At 42.8% G+C, this 23,933-nt stretch overlaps 1 protein-coding gene across 3 annotated transcripts in view, besides 2 other annotated features; it reads left to right on the forward strand.

The window, feature by feature from the left end:
• Positions 1,424–1,718: a silencer, noted in NCBI's record as "tiled region #10040; HepG2 Repressive DNase matched - State 4:PromP". NCBI's record gives its function as "represses a minimal TATA promoter and a strong SV40 promoter by Sharpr-MPRA in HepG2 cells {active_cell/tissue: HepG2}" and the evidence as "EXISTENCE:reporter gene assay evidence [ECO:0000049][PMID:27701403]".
• DYRK4 (dual specificity tyrosine phosphorylation regulated kinase 4) overlaps positions 1,589–23,933 on the forward strand; it is a 51,668-nt gene continuing 29,323 nt past the window's right edge. For 2 of the 3 annotated variants that reach the window (NM_001371301.2, NM_001394779.1), the window contains exons 1-2: positions 1,589–1,664; positions 7,336–7,429. In NM_001371301.2, coding sequence (NP_001358230.1) covers positions 1,627–1,664; positions 7,336–7,429 — 132 coding nt within the window. In that variant the 5' untranslated portion in view covers positions 1,589–1,626. Of the gene's footprint in view, positions 1,665–7,213; positions 7,430–12,710; positions 12,738–23,933 lie in introns of those variants that run through there. The other variant, NM_001394780.1, reaches the window with a different exon arrangement.
• Positions 5,774–5,853: an enhancer, noted in NCBI's record as "active region_5826". NCBI's record gives its function as "activates an Ori minimal core promoter by ATAC-STARR-seq in GM12878 lymphoblastoid cells {active_cell/tissue: GM12878}" and the evidence as "EXISTENCE:reporter gene assay evidence [ECO:0000049][PMID:35858748]".

Here is a 23,933-nt window from a genome sequence, read left to right on the forward strand (position 1 = left end):
TACCATGCTCTTGACAACAGAACCTGTGGATGGTCCACTGACAATTTGATGTAGCAGATCAGTTGTTAAATTCAACGTCTCCTCCTACCCCTGACATCTCTCCTGTGTTTTCTGTTGGTAAATGAATGGCACCACCATCACTGCAGGTGCCAAAGGTGTCATCCTGGGATTGAGTCTTCTCTCGACTTTCACATCCAGTCACCAAGTCTTACTCCATTTCCTAAATTTCTCAAAACTACTCTTCCATGTGCTCTCCCTTACTCTGAAACATCATCACTCACTATTTCTAACAGGCATCCTTGCCTTGATTCTTAACCTACTCGGGCCTACTTCCATTGTTATTGCCACAGAGGGTTTTATAAAATAAAGTCAGCATGAACACCCCTCTGCAGTCTGCACATACACACCTTACCCTGGTCGAGTTCATAGCCTACTTGGTGTCTGACTCCCCCTTTCCTGCTGCTTCAACCTTGTCTCTGCCCACGTGCAACTTTGATCCCTGCCCCACTAAACTGGGTGCTGGCACAATGGTACCAAGCTTTTCTATGGCTCTGGCCTTCAGAATAGGACTTGCCTCCTTTACGTAGACAACTACTGCCTGTCCTTGAAGACTCAGATTCAACTCAGCTCTTTCAGAAAGCTTCATTTGAATGTCTTTTCTGCCTGGACCAGACTGTGCACCTCCAGGTCAACCTACTGCCACTCAATTACAAATTTCCCTTTTCATGCTTTCTACAATCTGGTGCAGAGTAAGCACTCAAAAAGTGTTCAGCTGATATATGGATTTTACCCAGAACTTTTGCTATGTACTTACTTTTTTTCTTTTTCTTTTTCTTTTTTTCTTTTTTTTTTTTTTTTTTGAGATGCAGTCTCGTTCTGTCGCCAGGCTGGAGTGCAGTGGCGCGATCTCGGCTCACTGCAACCTCCGCCTCCCGGGTTCCAGCGATTCTCCTGCCTCAGCCTCCCAAGTAGCTGGGACTACAGGCACGCACCACCACGCCCCGCTTATTTTTGTATTTTTAGTAGAGACGGGGTTTCACCATGTTGGCCAGGATGGTCTTGATCTCTTGGCCTCGTGATCCACCCGCCTTGGCCTCTCAAAGTGCTGGGATTACAGAAAAAAATGTCTAAATAGAGACAGGGGCGGGGGGGTCTCACTACTTTGAGCAGTTTGGTCTCGAACTCCAGACCTCAAGTGGTCTGCCTAGGCCTCCCAAAGTGCTGGGATTGCAGGTGTAAAACCACCGCGCCCGGCCAGAACTTCTGTGATGTAATTCTGATAACCACATGCTTCGCTTGAAGAAGGGGAGAGAGTAGGGATAATTTCATGTGTCCGGTCTGGGCAACCAACTTTAAGTTCTTTATGCTGGGATTTTGTTCAATTCTTGCCCTATACTTTAAAGAACTGGGGCAAGAGAATGCGAGTAGGAGGACGAGGAGTATGTTCTTCAGGCTGCTACTCTGCAAGGTGGTTTGGGACCACAGCCTGAGAAAGCCCTTCCAGCTCTGGAGTCATAAAAAGGGCGGGAGCCGTTTCTATAGCGACGGGAGGAGGGCGTGGCCGTCCCTTGCCCTCTGCCGGGCTCTCACAGCCTCCCGCAGCGGCGGGCGGTCAGCGCCGGCCTCATGCAGCTCCTCCCGCCGCCTATCCGCACCGGAACAAAGTAAGGGCCGCGGAGGCTCGTACTTCACGAGCAGTCAGGCGCGAGTACGAGGCAGGCGACGAAGCTTCTGGTCGACGGGGTCGTGGGGGGAGAATGAAAAGCGTGCAGAATGCAAGAGCTGACCGGGGAATGTGGGTCAGAGAGAGGCGGGCTGTGGTGCGCGGACAAGAAAATACAGTTGTAGTTTTTGCAGCAGCTGCATCCCCGGAATCCGACGTCAGTATACTTCCATGTTAAGATGCTGTCGCATCGGCGACTCCAGCTGAGTGCAGGACAGGGAGCGAGGGGTTCTGAGGAACTCAGCAGACCTATCCTGGAACTGTGCTTCCAGCCCTCACTGGGACGCCAGACTTTCTTCCTCCCTTTCTTTCTCTTCTTTACTGCATGTCCTCTTGGTAGTCGTAAGTGGGTCCACGACCACACGCCTCGCGTGGATGAGGCTCTGGCAGGCATTACTCATGTTCCCACCCAGCCCATATGCCCGGGCACCTCTGTGCTCAACCAGGGCCCAGCCCCTGACACAAAAGCGCGCGAAGGTGTGTGTAGATCACACACCCAGAGCTGCCACTCAGGAAATTCCCAATATTAGCAAATCTTTCCTTAAAAAAGAGATGAACAATGCACAATTTGAGGGTTTTTAAAGGCTATTCTGTGACATTTGCTGCATTTGAAATGTCCAGCAGCCCCTCAAAGCTTAGGAAAACCGTGACCCCTCTGACATGTCTTAAGCAACGGACAGCATCACCAATATTAATTCAAGCTTCACTGTCCAGGCTTAAGTGGAGACTCGGCAAAAGCAGGAGGCCATTTAGTGGAAAAGTTCAAACCGTGGAAACAACAAATGAAAATGTCCTTTGTCTTGCTTGAGCGATTTGATCACCTACATGTGGTCGGTATGTAAAACCTAGGAGTTCGAAGAAATTCTTCAAACATGCACTCTACCTTATTGTTTCTGTTACTTAAATCTGTTGTTTCTCTTGTTTGTTTTGGTCCTTATGGAGAAAGCAGAGGTAAATCGGAAGGGACTCTCTAGCAATATGCCAGCCACTCTTCCCTGACTTTGCCCTCTCCAACTCCACATATTGTTGCCTGCAACTTGGCTAGAATGCATAGTCCTCAAGCGTGTGGAGGACCCAGTGCTGGGATTTAGTGGTTTTAGCTGACTCTAAGCCCATCGTGAGTGTGTTGTGATGGCTCCCCAAAGAGCAAATGCTGGTGGAGGCTGCATTCATAGAAATGCAATGACCACATCAAAGAATATGGTCGTGCTGCCTGACTTAGCAATGAGTAGAACATAATCCAGACTCTAGAAACTGTAGCTACTTTGAGATCACAAAGAACTGGAAAATAGGAACAACCACAAGGCAGGCTCTCTCTGTCAGGCCTGGGTGTGCCATCACATGAAGAGAGGTTTGAAAAAACTTCACAGAATGCCTGGAGATGAGGAGATGCAAGGGAGAGAAAGCTTTTTTCTACTCAACTTTTGAACATTCAAGAACTCTTGAGTAGAAAAGAGATAGATTTGTTCCTTGGTACTCTGCAGAGGATAGCAAGGATCAGTGGAGGAAATTTTGCTCAATATAGTTTATTCTTCCAAGAAATATCAAGTACCAACCCTATGTAAATTAACAGTTGAGTGTGAAATGGGTTGCCTAGAAAAACAGTGCACTCTGTCATAGAAATATTCCAGCATAGACAGAGTGATTGCCAGGAATACCATAGAAAGAGGATTCTTCCCCAGGGTGGGAAAATGGATGACATGGTCTCCAAAACCTCTTCTAGCTCTTTAGAGTCTGGGAGTCAGTGAACCCTCAAGAGTCTCAGGGATATATGCAGAGGGTCCAAGGAATTCTCTGGCAGAAATGAGTGTGACTTAAAATACATTTAGATAGAAGAAATAAGACCTAGTGTTTAATAAATCAGTAGAATGACAATAGTAAACAATAATCTATTGTATATTTCAAAATAGCTAGTAGAGAATAATTTGAAGCCCTGACTTGATTATATATTATATAAATATAAATATACATCTATTATATATCAATTAAAAAATGAATGTAACTTAAGTTCATTAAAAACATTATCACCTGTTCACAGAATGCAAACGGAATCCCTGCAAACCCTGCACTGCCATACTTTCTGCCCCAAAGACAGCCCCCAGGGCATAAAGATCAAGCTACTGGCAATTGCAGTAGAAATCCTAAAATCATAACAGGTAAATCTCAAAAGACTTGTTTCCTTTCTGGATATTGAAGTACTCTATACACAGATGATGTGTATATATTAATATAAAATACTATGCAGTGCAGTAAGGCTGGCACCTCTGTGGATCTGCCTTAACCTTGAGTCTTCGAACTCCTTGAAAACAAGGCTTCTGTTTTATTTATCTTTGAATCCTCCATGCTTAGCCCAGTAGCTGGCACACAGTTGATGCTCTGGAATTTTTTGATGAATTAATCTATTTTAGATTTCTCTTCCCTCAGCAAATTTGTACCAAGTTTTCAACAGACAAGTCACTGTCCTTACCCCAAAAGGAATTTTTTAAAAATGCAGGATCACCATCTATGTCTCCAAAAGACTAACAATCAATATGAGACAAAAAATATATGCACCTAAGATAATTAAATGACACTAAAGCTCTTGACCAAGTGAAAAAATGGTTTCTTAGGCAAACACACGATTGAACGCTCGAGGAAAGAGAGGAAGGGGAAGGAGAACTCCGATCTGCATGTAAGATGAAATGAGAATGGCCAAACTTTTGGTTTCAGTTCTCAAAGGAACATTCACTCTAGCTCTGAGCTGAGTTTATTAGTTATCTTCAATCCTTCATGTAACAAGATACAAACGAAATATAAAAAGCAGTTTAATTCTTTTCCACATAGCTCACCACATATTTTGAGGATAAAAAGGTAGCATTTGCAAAGCTTTGAGCAAGGGTTAAGTTGTACTGTTGGAAGCCAGAGTTCATGCATAAAAAAAGAAAGGCACAAAATAGTCTTTAATAATCACAGAATTATCCAAGGGATGGCAAAGTTGGAATAAGTCACAAGAGATTTTTTTTTCAGTCTGTCAGTATTTTTGTAGAATTAAAGAAATTTAGACCCCAAAGGGACTTTAGAAGTCACCTGCTCCAGTCTCCAGTCTCATTATTTTGCAGATGAGGAAATAGCACAGAGAGGACAAATGGCTCATTCAAAATCATGGCACTGTGTGTTAGGTGGCATTGTGACGAGGCTCCATGATTCCTCAGCGTTTCCTTCAGTGTTTGCTCCTTCTCTGCCTCCAGCGCTGTCAGAGCTGAACAGAGGAAAGGGCTCCAGCTGTTTGGAAGATTTCACATTTACTTTTTTTTTTTTTTTTAAGATGGAGTCTTGCTCTGTTGCCCAGGCTGGAGTGCAGTGGTGCAATCTCCGCTCACTGCAACCTCTGCCTTCCGGATTCAGGAGATTCTCCTGCCTCATCCTCCCGAGTAGCTGGGATTACAGGCGTGAGGCACCACACACAGCTAACTTCTTTTGTATTTTTAGTAGAGATGGAGTTTCACCATGTTGGCCAGGCTGGTCTTGAATTCCTGACCTCAGATGATCCACCCGCCACGGCCTCCCAAAGTGCTGGGATTACAGGCGTGAGCCACCATGCCCATCCCACATGTACTTTCATAGTCTCCTACATCTCTGTGAAGTAAAGGAAGGCAACACTCGATACAGAGTCTTGGCAGGAAAAATTTTTGTGTTCATTTTTGCCCAATGTTGCGATTTTACAAATCCCATGTCCAGTTGATGGCCACAATTCTACCTGTTCTGTCTCCCAAATCTTTCCCAAGTTCATACTTCTATCCCCACTGTCAGTGCCTTGGTTGAGGCTCTCATTCACTCTTATCTAGACACCCAAAATGCCTTCCTAGTTCCTCCAAATCGTGCTTCGTGATATTGCCAGAGAAATGGTACCAGAATACAAATCTGATCTTCAGCCCAGGTTTAGCATAGCCACGCAGGCTCCAAGACTCTAACTTGGACTACGTGCCCCTTTACAACCTAATCTACCTCCCTGGCCCTCCATCGGCAATGTCCAAGGACAGTGCTCAAAATTTCTGGAAAAAACAATGTTCTTTCATATTTATGTTCTTTGTGTGTCCTCCTCCATCTGCCCTTGACACTCCTGCCTGCTCTGCTCATTCTTCAGAGATGGTTCTACCCTGCTCAAGCGTGAAGGCTTCCTCAGCTCCTCCAGCTGACTTAGTCAACACCTGGAAACATGCTCTGGGAGCTGGTTGCAGAAGGCTGTATTAATACATCGATCACATGCATTGTCATGATCTACTTTCTTCTATGTACCTCCTTTCCTGGATAAGGAGTTTTCTTTGAGGGCAGAGACCATGTCTGGTTTATCAGTGAAATTGTCTCAGCAAATGTTTATAGAAAGAAAGGAAGAGAAGGAAGAAGTGAAACTATGATCTTAAGCAGAGAAGTTACTGGTAATTTTTGTTTGCTTTTGTGCAGGATTTTTTCATATTGTCTGTATGTGTGTGTATGTTAAAGTTAATGTTCCTACTTACCTCCCCCAGCCCTACTGAGAAGAGGTCACTATTACAGTTCATTTCTTCTAGATCTTTCAATATGCCTGTATAAAGACATGCAAGCATTTTGTTTTCTGTTAAATAAATATAGAATTATATTACACACATGTTCTACTGTTTTTGCTCAATACATTATGGGCACATATAAAGATCTATCTTATTTTTTAAATGGCTGCATTATATTTCATAAAACATATGTGTGCCATGAATTGTTAACTTCCCATTATGGACAAGTTCTGATTTTTCAATAGTTATACTGCAAGAAATGTTAGCATGACTTTTCTTTAATCCTCTGAATACTTTCAAAGTTGTGGTGCCATCATCATTTATATGGTGTCTGCAAGAGCCTGCCAGTGGAGTGATTTGCAGAAGCTGTCATAATATTTGCATTGGTTCCTGTTCTGCCCTTGTTTCTTGTATTCTTGATTCCTCTGGCTCTTGGCTAAAGCTAGAAGCCGAAAAGGGACTTGCAAAGGACACAGAGCAAGCGGTTTCAGCTGTACTCTGCTAATGTAACAGGGAATGTAAGTGTCCTGAGACCCCTCTGAGACTCACCTTCCACTTATAGAAATTACTGCTTACACTAGATTCCATAAATGTGTGCAAGGTTTTTTTTGTCTTGCAGTAAGTCAATTATTAATAGAACTGTGCTGTGAATGAAGAAGATGCAAACATGGCCAAATGAGAGTTAGAGGAAGTGTTTCTACCAATTGTTCCCCTTTTCTTTTTCTATAGGCATTAAACTATCTAAGTAGCCCATGAATACGCCCATCCTGTAAGGGGATATTATGTTTGTGGCAAAAGCATGAGGTTTACTTTCCAGTTAAGTAGGGGAAATGGTTTTTTTCCCCTTTGGTTGTCTAAACTGCTAATCACCTGATTATCTCTTCCTCCTTCCCTGGCTTCTGTCTGACCTCCTGACCTCATGTGACCATCAGAAGGGAAGCAAGGGAGAAGCAGGGACCCTGCTCCTGCTTTTAGGCCTGTTGCCTTCTTTTCTTCAAACCTGCCTGCTTTCTTCTGTCCCTGAGTGTGTGGGCCATTACTTAGATTTGACTCCTCCTGCCAATTTATTTTTTACTTTCCCTCATGCAGGACTCAAATGGATGCTAAAAAGCCAAGGAAATGTGATTTGACTCCCTTCCTGGTTTTGAAAGCAAGAAAGAAACAAAAGTTCACCTCTGCGAAGGTAAAGATCCTTGAATTTTCACTGGGGAAGAGAGGTATCATTGCGAGGTCCTAGGGACTCAGGACCCAGTGCTGATGGTTGTGCCCCAAGCACCTCTGGGTACAGCGCAAAGGCAAAGGTGTGGAGGATCATGCTGATTGGCAGGGCCAAATCTGGGTGGGTGTGGAGGGAAAATCAGCAGAAGGGCAAGGCCTTAATCTAACAGGTAAGCTGTATTCCAGAAGGCCCTGGGTGAGTGCATCCATGGTATCTTTTATTCTGCTGTATATATGTGAGATCCTACTGGAAGTTACCTGGAATAGTTGAAGAACGTTTCCAGAAAAGATCTGCTTTTTTTCTTTTTTTTTTTTCTTTGAGACGGAGTTTCACTCTTGTTGCCCAGGCTGGAGTGAAATGGTGCAATCTCAGCTCACTGCAACCTCCACCTCCTGGGTTCAAGCGATTCTCCTGCCTCAGCCTCCCAAGTAGCTGGGATTACAAGCATGCACCACCACGGCTGGCTAATTTTTGTATTTTTAGAGGAGATGGGGTTTCTTCATGTTGATCAGGCTGGTCTCGAACTCCCGACCTCAAGTGATCTGCCCGCCTCGGCCTCCCAAAGGGCTGGGATTACAGGCGTGAGCCACCACGCCTGGCCAAGACCTACTTTTTTTCTAATACAGACATGGTGTCTTTCCTTTCACTCTGCCTCAAAAACTAGTAAAATGCCACTGCACTGAAGTTAAAATTGTGATGGGATGACTTTGTGATAACCATCTATGGGATCAACTTCCAAATCAGGTGTATTTTAAAAATCTAACACCACTCAGTTTGAATTTCTTAGTTTGTTCAAAAGATCATATTGTTTGGGGTCTTTGTCCTGAAAGTTTCACAGCAAACTTCAGCCCAAAGCATTCAGGTTTGACTTCTGAATCCTGCCTGCATCACTGTTTGGCAGAACTGGAGTTCAGCAGCCTAACCCAAGGCCTAGCAAAAATCGTCCTCCTATAAATCACATATATTTACTTAAAATTATGACTTTAGGTTTCCTCTTCCAAGCGCTGTTCCTGATTTAACTCTAGTGTTGTCCCCCTTGGGATTATAACTCATACAAATGGACCCTAATACAAAGTCCTTTGCTCCACCCCACTACCCGTGCCACTACCACGTATAACAAAACACGTTTATTTTGCAATTTATAGGTGCAATTTTTAATACCTAAAACAAACTTATTTTGATAAAATAAAAATTACTGTAAAATATTTGAAATAATAAATCTCCAGCAAAACATGCTAATATAATAAAGATGGCATTCTTTTCAAATGTTAAACTATGATGCAAACAGAACAGTATTGGTTATGATTTTATTTTAGCAAAATCATCATGAGGTTTGCAACTTGCACTTTTTTAAGCTACTTGAGCACACATTTATTGAGTGCCGAGGTGACTCACACATGCGCCTTAGCAGCAAGTGCTATTATTATCCCCAATTTTACAGAGGGGGAAATTAATATACAAGCAAGGCCAATTAGCCCAGGGTCATAATGCCAGTGAGTGGAGGACGGAATTCAAACCCATATTCTTTTTCAATTGTTATTTAAAAAAAATTTGAAAGTAGAGACAGGGTCTCGCTATGTTGCCCAGGCTGGTCTCAAACTCCTGGGCTCCAGCAATCCTCCCACTTCAGCCTTCCAAACTGCTGGGATTACAGGTGTGAGCCACCACACCCGACCAAATCCGTATTCTTAACCACTCTCTTCCACGCCTCTCTGTTGCATGAGGATAGCTCTGTTAAGGGTTGTTCCGTAAAGTTCCTTATACATTTTGATTAATTTCAAAGAAAGCAAACTCTGTTGCAGTTACGATGACGGGAATTGTCAAAAATAAAATAAGTCCGGGGCATGAGGATTCACACCTGTAATCTTAGCACTTTGGGAGGCTGAGGTAGGAGGATCACTTGAGCCTGGGAGTTTGAGACCAGCCTGGGTAACATAGCAAGACCCTGTCGCTATAAATAATAATAATAATAATAATAATAATAATAATAATAATGATAATAACAAATTAGCTGGGTGTGGTAGTGCACGCCTGTAGTCCCAGCTACTTGGGAGCCTGAGGTAGTAGGATCGCTTGAGCCCAGGAGGTTGAGGCTGCAGTGAGCCGTGCTTGCGCCACTGCATCCAGCCTGGTCAACAGAAGAAAACCCTGTCTCAAAATAAATAAAATTTAAAAAAAAAGTCACATTCAAAATTGATTTGATTATGTCGTATTTTATAGTAATTACTGGCAAATTCACAATGACATTTAAAAATACTCTTGAAACTTAAAACTACTGTGTTTGTATTGCTAGTTGTTCTGATGGGTCTTAAATAAATGTCTTTTCAACGTCGATTGGCTTTCCTCAATGGACTTCTCATCCAGTTGAATTTAATAGGTTTAAGTAAGGAAATGCAAACAACTCAGTAACTGGCTTCTGCACGTGAAGTATTGGGTTTCAGTGGACAGTTGTGATACTAATTGGAGAAAGAAAATGAATTGTATGACTTATAATCCCTTCATCTAAAAAAACACTTAAGAAGAGGGAGCTGTGGATCTCACCATGTCTACTGCCCCAAGCAGGTGTTGAGAGGACAACTTATTTAAATAAATTAATAATTATTTATGTTTTTCACAATATTTAAAATTATAGATTATAAGTGTGATATAACAATCAAGTATTCACATATTTTAATTTGGATTTTGGTAACATTTCAGCCAAGGGAAAGTTTAAAATGTGATTTCACTGGGCTTTAAGACAATAGTGTGGCGCTCTCTCTAGTAATCTGGAGTTCTTTTCAGAATGCCCTATTCATTTGGCTAACACAGGGTAAAACCTTGATGCCAGTGGAGCTTCCCTGTCCTTTCTGCTTAGCTGGCAAGGATCAGAGGACTCTCAGGAAAATGCTGTGTGTTGTATTTGTCGTAACTGCCGGCAGGGGAAACAGAGGCCCTTTGGTCCTCAGTCATCTCAAGCAGTAGGCTGGAGGACATCTGGCTTTTCTGCATCTCAGCATTGCCTCAGCTGGTTTCTGGGACTCGAGGAGCTAGCTGAGCTCCAGGATCACAGCTTAGGCTATGCCAGGAAGAGAACCTGGGAGAGAGTCCTAGGGAGGGAAGCTGTTAATTTAGGATATTACATTACGATCTCCCCGACAACTACAAGATGCTACAAAGCACATCCAGAATCATACTGAAGACACATTTCTATTTCAGCACCAGAAGCACAGCTACTTTTTCTCTGTTAATTTCTTAGATCCTTTCAATCATTCATTTGCTGAATGCCACCTCCTTAGAGAGGCGTTCCTTCCCCACCATTTCTAATTACACATCTGTTTGTTTACTTGTTTATTGTCTGTCTTGCCCTCCAGAACTGTGCTGTCCAATATGGTGGCCCTTGGCATGTATCCTACTGGGGGTGTGCTGTGAGTGTCAGATACACACCAGAGTCCAAAGACTCGGTGTGAAAACAATAAATGTAAAATGATGTATTAGTAATTTTTATAGTTGGGTTTATATTTTGTCGTATTTTATTGTATTTTATTTTATTTATATCGTATTGTAGTTTATATTTTATCGTATGCCAATTAATACCTCAATAAAGTTGTAAAATAATTTTATATGTTTATATGTTAAAATAGTATTTTGAATATAATGTGTTAAATAAAACATATTATTAAAATTAATTTCATCTATTTCTTTTTACCTCTTTAATGTGGCTACCAGAAAATTTAAAATTATACTCATGACTCACATAATGTTTCTATTGGACAGTGCTGCTCTAGAATGGACACTGCACAATGGCAAAGGTTTTACTGGACTGGCTCAGTGCCAACTCCCCAGAACTTAGGTCAGTGCCTCCCACAGACTAGCACTTGATGTGTGCTTGTGGAATAAAAACTAGGAGTGTGTTTATTCATTTATTTCCTCTACAAGTATGTGCTGTCTACTCATCTCAGACATTGTTCTAGGGACTAGGGATGCAGTGGAGAACAAAACAGGCCGTAAAACTCTCATAAAGCTTAAAATTGGGATTCTTTGTAGGAAGACCAGATGTTTTGACTAAATGCTGAGAATGGTAATGACTCACCTTCATTTTCACTGGCAGTTAAAGAGTTGGAACTGAATAGACCAGTGGTTTCTTAGCCTGGGTTGTATATTGGGAACACCCAGGGAAGTTTTAAAGACTACTGAAATCAGAATCTTTAGGGGTCATGGACTTTTTTTTGTTTGTTTGTGACAGAGTCTGGCTCTGTCGCCCAGGCTGGAGTGCAGTGGCGCGATCTTGGCTCACTGCAAGCTCCACCTCCCGGGTTCACGCCATTCTCCTGCCTCAGCCTCCGGAGTAGCTGGGACTACAGGCGCCCGCCACCACACCTGGCTAATTTTTGTTGTTGTTGTTGTTGTATTTTTAGTAGAGACGGAGTTTCACCATGTTAGCCAGGATGGTCTCGATCTCCTGACCTCGTGATCCATCCGCCTTGGCCTCCCAAAGTACTGGGATTACAGGCGTGAGCCACCGTGCCTGGCCTATGGACATGTTTTAAAAAGTTCTTTTCTATCATGTGGGGACAGGTGTCCATTTCATCACCAGGTGTGAGACCTCAGGTCATTAAATCTCTGACATTTTGCTGTTTGTGAAACTGGAATAATTATTCCTACATCCCCTGATTGCAGGGGTATTAAGGGAGGTAAGAGAATGTGAGCTCTCCGGCTGGCACATGTTGGAAGCCCGATAAGTATTGGTTGCTTTTATCTTCCCTCTGTCTCTCCATTTAACAGAAAGGGGCTTCCTGCAAGAGACGGGCTTATCAGTGAGTGTCACACAGTGGAAGAGGATATCCGACGGTCATTCATTGTCTCATTTCCATGTCTCATCAGCACTTCCTATACGAAAAGCAGGAACAAAACAAAATCCTGATCCGACCATTTGGTGTTGGGCAAAGGAATGGAAATCAGTTCAAGCTGAAGAGACAGCAAACAGCAGAGATGTGAATTGCTAGTTCTGTCTAGGTTTTTAGGTTGGCACACTATTATTTATGGTAATGCATTCACCTGTTAAATGCAAATGGAAGACTCGAACTAGAAGAACTTGTAATGATCATTGCAAGTTAACATTAAAACGTTTAAAATATAATCGTAAGCAGCCAATCTAGAATCAGTGGCTCAATGAAGATAGGCATTTACTTCTATATAATGTCTACATTTGGAATGGATTTGGGGTCCTGAAGGAGAGTTTTACATAGTTTTCCCCATTCTTTCCTAGGGCCCCACTCTTTCTGAGATCTACATGGTAAGTACCAGTTCCTTTGTTCTGCGTGTTCATTGGTGCTTTAATTTCCAATCAAAGAAAGGAGAACAAAGATTTGAAATTACCTTTGGTTTCTGTCAAAGGAATGTGAAGTGAGCAGGAATTGGCGGGTGGGGGCATGTCTCTGAGTACAAGAATTAATCAGAGCAATAGTCACTTCTATTGAAAGCTTCTTCAGGCCATGACAAATAGAGTATCAGTTCGACGTTGAAGGTGGGGATAAGGAGATATTCGGAATGCAATCCCTGCCCTCCCGGTGTGTGTTATAGCAGTGTTTGTTTGCTTCTTTCAACAGTGTTGAGGGGGTCATTACCTCCATTTTACAGAGGAGGAAACTGAGATCCAAAGAGATTTATGTAGCCAGGCACCTGAAGTCATTCTGGGAATAAAAGCTGAAATCAGGATTCAGATTTTATTCTGTAATTCATGAATGCTTTTCAAGAAATAATTTTTATTATTGTGTTGAGTATATATAAAATAATATTAAAGAAATATGTGTAAGGTATAAAGAATGATACAATGATCACCCTTGTGTGTACCCAACACAAGGTTTTAAGAAAGCAGTCCCAGGCCCCGCGCAGTGGCTCACGCCTGTAATTCCAGCACTTTGGGAGGCCAAGGCGGGTGGATCACAAGGTCAGGAGATGGAGACCATCCTGGCTAACACGGTGAAACCGCATCTCTACTAAAAATACAAAAAATTAGCCGTGCGTGGTGGCGGGTGCCTGTAATCCCAGCTGCTCGGGAGGCTGAGGCAGGAGAATTGCTTGAACCTGGGAGGCGGAGGTTGCAGTGCGCCGAGATCGCGCCACTGCACCCTGGCCTGGGCGACAGAGCGAGACTCCATCTTAAAAAAAAAAAAAAAAAAAAAAAGGAAAGAAAGCAGTCCCATGTGTGTCCCTCCCCATGGTATCTCGTCCTGTTCATTGTCCCGTCTGAGATAACTACTCTCTTGAGTTTTACATCTATTATTCCACTAATTTTCTTTATCTGTTTCTAAACCTTCTAAACTATGTATTGGCTCATTTTGCATGTTTTTTAAAAATATATATGGAATCATACTGTTGAGTGTTCTTCTGCAGACTGCTTTTTATGCTCAGTGCGAAGCCAGCGTACATTGGTATAACATTTGGCCGCTTTCACTGGGATTGATTAGGCCTCTGCTGATTGATCATTACCTGTGCCCCGAGTCTTTAAATACTATGAATATCACCTCTGTTCTAGGAACACTGGTTCTCAATTAACTTAACTACCATGTTTCATTATACGGGAACACTACATTTTTTATCAGTTTTACAATTAATGGACATTTTGTTTTTTCTTGTGCGTTTGCTATTTATTTTTTATTGAAAAGTTTTTTTTAGACACAGTCTTGCTTTGTCACCCAGGTTGGAGCGCAGTGGTGCGATCTCGGCTCACTGCAGCCTCCGCCTCCCCAGTTCAAGTGATTCTTGTGCCTCAGCCTCCCCAGTAGCTGGGATTACAGGTGCACGCCACCATGCCCAACTAATTTGTGTATTTTTAGTAGAAATGGGGTTTCACCTTGTTGGCCAGACTGGTCTCTCAAACTCCTGACCTCGAGTGATCCACCAGCCTCGGCATCCCAAAGTGCAGGGATCATAGGCGTGAGCCAATGTGCCCGGCCATGTTTGCTATTGAAAATGATGCTGCTATGAGCATTCTTGTGCACGTTTCTTAGTGTGTCTGTATAGGCATTTCTAAGATGTATTCCCAGGAGGGGAACCGCTGGGTAACAGGATATGTGAATGCTTGACGTTACCAGATAATGACAAACTGTTTTCCAAAACATTGGTGCAAATGTACCTTGTCACCAGTAGTGTGCACACATTTCAGTCTTCCACATACTTTTTATTACCTGATATTGTGTGACTTTTTAGCTTGCCAATTTACTAACAATAACTTACTGTGTGTGTGTGTGTGTGTGTGTTTTCGAAACGGAGTCTCGCTCTATTGCCCAGGCTGGAGTGCAGTGGTGCGATCTCGGCTCACTGCAACCTCTGCCTCTCGGGATCAAGCAATTTTCCTGCCTCAGCCTCTTGAGTAGTTGGGACTACAGATGCATGCCGCCACTACCAGCTAATTTTTTTGTACTTTTAGTAGAGACGGGGTTTCACTATGTTGGCCAGGATGGTCTTGATCTCCTGACCTCGTGATCCACCCGCCCCGACCTCCCAAAGTGCTGGGATTACAGGCATGAGCCACCGTGCCCAGCCAATTTATTGTATTTTAATGTGCATTTTGATGATGACTGTTAATGAGATTGAACCGTTTTTAATGTATTTATTGGCTATTTGTGTTTCCTCTTCTTTGAAATACTTGGTCATGCCTTTATTGTTTAAGAATTTTTCTGTTGTGCTGTTTGTCCTTTTTTATTGATTTACAGAATATTTTACATATTCTGTCTACTCATCCTTTGTCAGTTGTATGTGCTGCAAACAGCTTCTCCTAGTTGTTGGCTTGTCTGTTTTTTATTTATTTAATTTTTAAAGAGCAGTTTTAGGTTCCCAGAAAAATTGAGCAGAGAAGTACACTTTCCATATAACCCATTCCTCTTTACAGTTTCTCCTATTATTGACATTTTACATTCATGTATAGTTGGCACAATTGATGAACGAAGATTGATACATTATTATTAGCTGATGTTCATAGTTTACATTAGAGTTCCTCCTTTGTGTTGTACATTCTAGGAGTCTGACAAAGGCATAATGTCATTTGTCTACTATTATAGGATGATACCGGATAGTTTCACTGACCTAAAAATACCCCATTGTCCATCTATTCATCCTTTCCCCCCAACAACAAAACCCCTGGCAACCACTCTTTATACTGTCTCCTTAGTTTTGCCTTTTCTAGAATATTGTATAGTTGGAATCATGCAGTATATTGCCTTCTCAGATGGCTTTTTTCATTTAGCAGTAATGTCCTCCATGTCTTTTCATGGCTTGAGAGCTTATTTCCTTTTATCAGTGAATAATACTGCACTGTATGGGTGTACCAGTTTGCTTATCCATTCACTGACTGAAGGACAATTTGGTTGTTTCCAATTTTTTAGCAGTTATAAATAAATCTGCTATAAGCATTCATGTGCAGGTTTTTATGTGGACATACATTTTTTTAGTTCATTTGGGTGAACCAAGGAGCATGATTGCTGGATTGTATGTTAAGGCTATATTTAGCTTCATAAGAAACTGCTACACTGTCTTCCAAACAAGCTGTACCATTCTGCCTTCCCACCAACAATGAATAAGAATTCTTGTTATGCCACCTCCTTGCCAGCATTTGGTGTTGTCAAAATGCGGTTTTGGACGTTCTAGTAGGTGTGTAGTGGCATCTCATTGTTTTAATTTGCAATTGCCTAATAACATAATATTGAGCATCTTTTCATATGCATATTTGACATCTATATATCTTATTTGGAGAGCTGGTGTTTATTCAGATATTTTGCTAATTTTTAATTGGATTGCTTTCTTATTGTTGAATTTTAAGAGTACTTTGTATACTTAGACACAATCCCTTCTCAGATATGTGTTTTGCACATATTTTCTACCAGTCTATGGTTTCTCTTTTCGTTTTCTTAACAAAGTCTTTTGCAAAGAAGTTTTAATTTTAATGAAGCCCAGCGTATCCATTTTTTTCCGTCATGATCGTGCTTTTTTATTGTAGTTAAAAAGTCATTACTGAACTGAAGGTCACCTAGATTTTCTTCTATGTCACCTTCTAGAAGTTTTATAGTTTCGTGATTTCTATTTAGGTCTATGAGCCATTTTGAGTTAATCTTTGTGGAAGGTATAAATTCTGTGTCTAGATTAATTTTTTTTTGTGGATGTCCAATTGTGCCAGCACTGTTTTTGTTTGTTTTTAATAAGTCTTGCTACATTTCCCAGGCTGGTCTCAAACTCATGACCTCAAGTGATCCTCTGGCCTCAGCCTCCTTGAGTAATTGGGACTACAGGTGTGCACCACCATGCTGGGCTTAGTACTATTTGTTGAAGAGATGCCTTTCTCCATTGAATTGATTTTGCTCCTTTGTCAATGATCAGTTGACTATGTTTGTGTGGGTCTATTTATGGGGCCTCTATTTGTTCCATTGAACTATTTGTCTGTTCTTTCTTCAGTGCCACACTGTCTTGATCGCTGTAGCTTTATAGTAAGTCTTGAGGTTGGGTCATCAGTCCTCTAACTTTGCTGTTCTTTGGTTTTGTGTTGGCTATTCTAGGTCTTTTCATTTTCCACATGAATTTTAGAATCAGTTTGTTGATGTCCATAAAATAACTTGCTAGGATTCTGATTGGGATTGTGTTGAATCTACAGATTAAGTTGGGAAGAACTAATATCTTCATGATATTTAGTCTTCCTATCATGAACATGGAAAATATCTCAATTTATTTAGATCCTCTTTGATTTCTTCAACCAGAGTTTTGTAGTTTTTCTCAGATAGATCTCATACACATTTTGTCATATTTATAGTTAAGTATTTCAGTTTCTTGGGAGTGTTAATGTAAATGGTATTGCACTTTTAATTTCAAATTCCAATGGTTCATTTCTGTATATAAGAGAGCAATTGACTTTTGTGTATTAATGTCTTTTATCCTGCAGCTTTTATACAATCTTGGGTTTTCTTTTTACTTTCTTTATGTTGTTTTTAGATAAACAGAAGTAATTAATTAAAAGCAGGTAAATTTATGGTATGCACTTTTTGTCTTAATAAATCATTCCCTACTCTGAAGTTATACAGGTATTGCCTTCTAAAAGTTTTATAATTTTGCCTTTCATCAGTTCTGAAAAATACTTCTAGCCATTTTGTCATTATCTCTTTCATACTCTTTCTTTTCTTCTGAAACTCAAATTAAATGTATGTTAAACCTTGTTTTATCCTCTACGTCTATAATCTCTGACCAGATTTTTTATCTCTTTGAAGAAATTGCTGGTTAATTTCTTCAAACCTGTCTTTTCCAGTTCATTCATACTCCCTCTGGCTATGTATAATATGTTATTAAGCCCATTCATTTGGTTTTTAATTTCAACTGTTATATTTTTTAGTTTTGAAAATTCTAATTTGTTCATTTTTAAATCTGTTCTGTTATTTGCATGGAGTCTTACACTTTACTCACATTTTTAGGCTCTTTAATTTCTTTAAGCAAGTTATGCGTAGTTAATTTATAAGTTTTACCTGATAATTCCAATACTTGGATATTATATTTGGAAATATAACTATTTGGAAATATTGGGGGTGATCTGATTCTGGTGTTTATAGTTTTTGCTAATTCTCACCCACAGCACCTTGTTGTCTTGTATCTTTTAACTTTTTACTAGTCTTGTTTTGTGGAAAAGCCTGAGTCTGAGAGAGTATGAATGGTTTGCCAAGGCCACACAGCCAGCGAGTGGCAGCATAGGAATGCCAGTCAAAATCTGTCTGACTCTGAGGTCTGTGTACTTTTCTCTATCCTGTGAGGCCTAATGACCCTTGACTGATGAACTCTTTTACAAATCATCCCATACGTGATTATTGAGAGCCAAGCATTGTTTTTGGTGCTGGGATACAAAAATAGACATGCACATCTCCTTCTTTCACAGTCTAGTGTGACATAAACTGCAAATGGGCCGGGTGCAGTGGCTCATGCCTGTAATTCCAGCACTTTGGGAGGCCGAGGTGGGTGGATCATGAGGTGAAGAGATTGAGACCATCCTGGCCAACATGGTGAAACCCCGTCTCTACTAAAAATACAAAAATTAGCTGAGCGTGGTGGCGTGCCCTGTAGTCCCAGCTACTTGAGAGGCTGAGGCAGGAGAATCATTTGAACCTGGGAGGCGGAGGTTGCAGTGAGCCGAGATTGTACCACTGCACTCCAGCCTGGTGACAGAGCGAGATGCCGTCTCAAAATGATAATAATAATCATGATAATAATAATGATAAATAAATAAAAATAAAAAATAAAACACACAATGGCCAAGTGACACTGAGGCATGGGAGTGCTCTCATGCAGGTAGAAACAGTTCTCTGAGAGTCTAGACAAAGTTTTCTTAAGCCATTGGCTAATGCCCAGCGTACCATTTCATGCTTCACTGACATGCCGGTCACTTTAGTACTGTCACATGGCATGAGTTACAGGGCTCTTTATTCATATTTTCATCTAAATGAATCACTCCCCCTGGAGTTAAGCAAGGAGGCTGCATGTGGACTGGAGGGAGGGCATTTCAGGCAGAAGAAATAACATATACAAAAGCATGCAAAGGCATTCTATCTAAATCGATAGAAATAGAGCCTTAGAAATTATCTACTCAAACCCTCCTACATGATGCATAAATCCACTTTATATTATAGGAAATTTAGTGTCTAATTTATAGAATAAATGCTTGCTTTCTGAATGTCTCTATTGTCAGCTGAATTCAGGCACTATCAGAATAAAAGCATGATCTTACTTTTAATTAGCGACCTTTGGAGGGGAAGTTCTTTATAATCCCTTGTCACCCGGTTTCCTGGCAGAACACAAAGAGGTCAGAGGAGATCACTGGGTGGCAGCATGAGACAGTAAAATGACGCTAGAGGGCTTACGTTCTAGACGGGCTTGCTGCTGTTAATTGTGTTATCTTGGACAAGTCACTTGGATAATGTTTGCCTCCCTTTCTCCATCTGTAAAATGAGGGCATTATACTACACATGCCCTAAGGTCACATTCATTATCATGATTTACCAAGGTGCATTTAACAGAAGTCCAGAAAACAAAGTATCTCCCCAAGGCCCTGCACTGAATGCATTAGAAATTGACTCCAGCTATCTGGACCCCCAGGCTCTTGCCCTTCCTCAAGGATGGCAGGGCCTCCTCTTTCCACCTCTACTAGGGACAGAGCTGGTGGGTAGGACCCCAGGGAGGCTACTACATCAACGAGATGAAAATCTGGTCCTCCCAAGAGGCTGGCCACGTTCGTCCCACTAATGGGTCTCAGGGGTGCAGCTGTGGCTGTTGGTGTGATTTGGAGGCGGCTCCTCCCCATCTAGGCATCCTGGGCTCCCTCATGCACAGCAAAGGGACTTAAAGGGCAGACCCTTAGCTTCAAATGGCAGTGGGAGAGATGCTGTGATTTGTTCAAGGTCTGTAGCAGCCAGGGTAGCTTAATCCCTTAGCTGGGGACCCTTAGGAGCCCAGCCACCTCCCTCCCTCCCAGTTCTTTGTGATGCTCTGCTGAGCCTAATTGTCTAACTAGTTGCATTCTGCAGAAAATCCCCAAAGAGTTTGTTTCTTTCTCCTGGTCACACCCCCTCCCTGCATGAATGCATTTATTTTTAACTCCTGGTAGTTCTGGCCTCTGGGAAGGGATGACAGAGCCTGTAAGGAAGAAGTTGTGAGCTGATATCACAGAAGCTGAGCTTCATTTGCCCATCCAACCACCAGGCACTTAGGGATTTTTTTTTTTTTAAATGGGAAACAGGAAGAGACAAGGAGGAGTCAGCTGAGAAAACAGGAAAATCGCCTGTGAAGTATGACTGAGGCGGGATGGTGTGATGGAGGTGTGCCTTTCCGAAAAGGCTGGGTGGCCTGAGGCCTGCAGAGAGTCCAGTTGCTATCTTCCCTGAACAGTCCAGGTGAGGACATCCAGCGTTCGGTCCAAGGTAATAAGATGAGCCAGTGCTTCTAGAGTTCTGCTCTAACTAGCCCTAAATAGGGACCAGTCCTATTATCCTTTGGGTCTTGGTGTGAGAGGGCAGGACATAATACTCCCCTGTGGTCCTTGGGTAAACTGAGCTTGATACCCAAGGTGAGAGAGCCTGTGCTTGCTGGGGGTCAGGGCCTGACATGATGAGAATACAGAATAGAGGGGAAGGCAGAGCACCTAGGGACAAGACACTGAAGTGGGACATGGGACTGGGAATTCCACCCCTCAGGGTACCTCTTTCATCCACTCTGACACAGAGATTACATAGTCAGGTCAGTGCGGTTTGTAATGGGAACAGGCTTCTGCCAGACAGGTTCTTCTTTCCTACCATGAACCATCTCTTGTTTCCTTTGAGTAGCAATTCATTTATTTGGAAGAAAGCGCTTCCTTTTCCAGGCATTCTCTTTGAAATTGCAGCTGCCTTTGAGAGGGGGCATGAGCAGAGAAGATTCTCTTGTGTGAATTCGCTGATTAGAGGCTTTCCTTCCAAAAGAAGGGCCGGGGAGCATGGGAGCACTTTCCTGGTGGGAATAGAAGCCACTAAGAACGAGGAATGAGGCTAGAACAGGGCAAGGATGGACTGACCACCAGGAGAGGGAAGGACTGAAGTCAAAGCTCAGTTGTCTCCCTGGACAGCCTAGAGTTGTCTCAGATCTTTCAGGACAAGTGCTGGGTCCTGAAACATCCTGCTCCCTCCCTGCCTCTCTCCTGTCCTTCCCTCTCACCTTCTTTTCCTCCTCCTTTAGCAAATATTTAAGTGCCTACTACAGGTTGAGCATCTCTTATCCGAAATTCTTGGGACCAAAAGTGTTTTGAGTTTCAGATTTTTTTAGATTTAAGCATATTTGCATATACATAATGAGATATTTTGGGGATGGGACCCAATTCTAAACACAAAATTCATTTATGTTGCATATACACTTTATGCATGTGGCCTGAGGCACCTTTATACAGTATTTTAAATAACTTTGTGCATGAAACAAAGTTTGTGCACGTGAGTGGTGTCATTGTCGGCACTCAAAAGTGGAGCATTTCAGGCTAGGGATGCTCTATCTGTAATGCTTATCATGTTAGGCTTTGAGATAAGACCCAGGTCTTTTATTAAAGAGTCTTGGCCAGGAGCAGTGGCTCACGCCTGTAATCCCAGCACTCTGGGAGGCTGAGGTGGGAGGTTTCACCTGAGGTCGGGAGTTCGAGACCAGCCTGACCAACATAGAGAAACCCCATCTCTACTAAAAATACAAAATTAGCCAGGCGTGGTGGCGCGTGCCTGTAATCCCAGCTACTCGGGAGGCTGAGGCTGGAGAATCGCTTGAACCTGGGAGGCGGAGGTTGCGGTGAGCCGAGATGGCGCCACTGCACTCCAGCAATAAGAGCGAAACTCCATCTCAAATAAAATGAAATGAAATGAGATGAAATGAAATAAAATAAAATAAAAAAGAGTCTTATATACCAGAAGAAGAAACCAGTAAAACAACCTTGTCTAACAAGCCTTTGCAGGTGCTGTAATAGAGTACAGAGCACAGGGTAGCGAGTGGCTTACAAATATTAATACAAGAGGGAGTGGTCACAGAGGCTTCCTGGAGAAAGTGCTGCTATGGCTGGGGCCCAAATGCGGGTGAACGATGGGGACATGGACTGGATGACATGGCGGTGGGGTGGGTGATGGGAGAACATTCCGAGCAGAAACAGAGCAGGAGTGAAAGTGCTGAGATGTGGAACAGTGCGGTGTTTGAAAATGGCAAGACTTGCAGTGGCAGGAGCCAAAAGGCAGGGGTAGGGCCATGACAAGGGTTGAGGCTGGGGGCGCTTTGTGAGCCAGGACTTCTGCTCCCTGGTAAGTTGCTAGGAGATGGAGGCAACTTACTAATGTGATCAGATGCTCATGTTTAATTTCTGAGGCCACTCAGGAGGAAGGGTAGAGGATGGGATGGAATGCGGAGAGGCAGGAAAACTGCTTAGGAGACCATTGCAATAGGTGCCTGAACTAGGGATGTGGTGGGCAAAGAATGGTGAAGGGGTATCTTTATTCTCACATAATTATGCCACTCACAGTAAGAAATCGTAACAATTTGAAGTTTGAAAAAGAGACAGAGTCTTGCTCCATGACCGAGGCTAGAGTGCAGTGGCACCATCTCAGCTCACTGCAACCTCCACCTCCCAGGTTCAAGCAATTCTCATTCCTCAGCTTCTACCCCTGCCTTTTGGCTCCTGCCATTGCAAGTCTTGCCATTTTCAAACATGGCACTGTTCTACATCTCAGCACTTTTGCTCCTGCTCTGTTTCTGCTTGGAATGTTCTCCCATCACCCACCCCAACGCCATGTGACCCAGTCCACGTCCCCATCGTTCACCCGCATTTGGGCCTCAGCCATAGCAGCACTTTTTCCAGGAAGCCTCTGTGACCATTCCCTCTTGTATTAATATTTGTAAGCCACTCGCTACCCCGTGCTCTGTACTTCAGTCACAGCACCTTTGCTGAGACTACAGGCGCCTGCCACCACGCCCGACTAATTTTTGTGTTTTTAGTAGAGACAGGGTTTCACCATGTTTGCCAGGCTGGTCTGCAACTCCCGACCTCAGGTGGTCCACCTGCCTCGGCCTCCCAAAGTGCTGGGATTACAGGTGTCAGCCACTGCGCCCAGCCTTGACTCTCACTTTTGAAAGTGAGATGGTTGTCAGCTTGTGTTCAGTAATATGAATTTGCAATTGAGGCACTTCCCTGTGACATCATACAAAGAAGTAGTGTCAGGGAAGATGACACTTAGTGAAATTCTACTCCCTCCTGAGACACGCAGCAAATCCAAGATTGGCTCTGGAGCTGGTCCCAGCTCACTTTACGTTCTTGTAATGATGGCATGGACACTGACACGCAGGGCAGGTTCTGTGGGACCGCCCCGCCCGATGACCCAGCCAGTGGGACTGGTCTTGAAGTTCCAGGGCTGGCACATTGTGGAAAGCCTAATGTTTGTTGCCATGGAATTTCCTGGGGGAAGATGAGAAAAATTTGTAAAAAGTTAGAAAGGATACATAAACATCAATGACACAAAGAAAAACAAAAGTTCAGAGGTGGGAGAGACTAGTTCCAAAAGAGGGGATTATATTAGAATGTGGCTCCCAAATCTGCCTGCACAGAACTCACTTGGGGAAGCTTAAAATACAGGTTTCTGGGCTCTACTGCTAGGGAGGCTGGACTGTGTGATCTGTGCTTGGCACACTGCTCGGTAGGCACATAGATATGTTCAGTAAATGCGTTAAGAATGAATGCATCTCCAAGGTCCACTGCAACTCAGTGATTCTGTGCATCCTTCCGGCTTGCGGAAGCAGGAGGCAGGTGTTGCCGGAAGAATCTTTGAGGCAAGAAGAAGAGCAGGATCACAGGACTGAGTAACTGGAAGGAACAGTTTGGCACCTTTGTAGTTATTTTGCATAAATGCCAGGTGCAGAGTAGGGGGCAGGGTGAGTAAACTGGTTTCAAGTTTCCCCCTTCCTTTTCTAATCAGCC

Source organism: Homo sapiens, chromosome 12 (assembly GCF_000001405.40).
Source record: "Homo sapiens chromosome 12, GRCh38.p14 Primary Assembly".
In the NCBI taxonomy this organism is placed as follows: domain Eukaryota; kingdom Metazoa; phylum Chordata; class Mammalia; order Primates; family Hominidae; genus Homo; species Homo sapiens.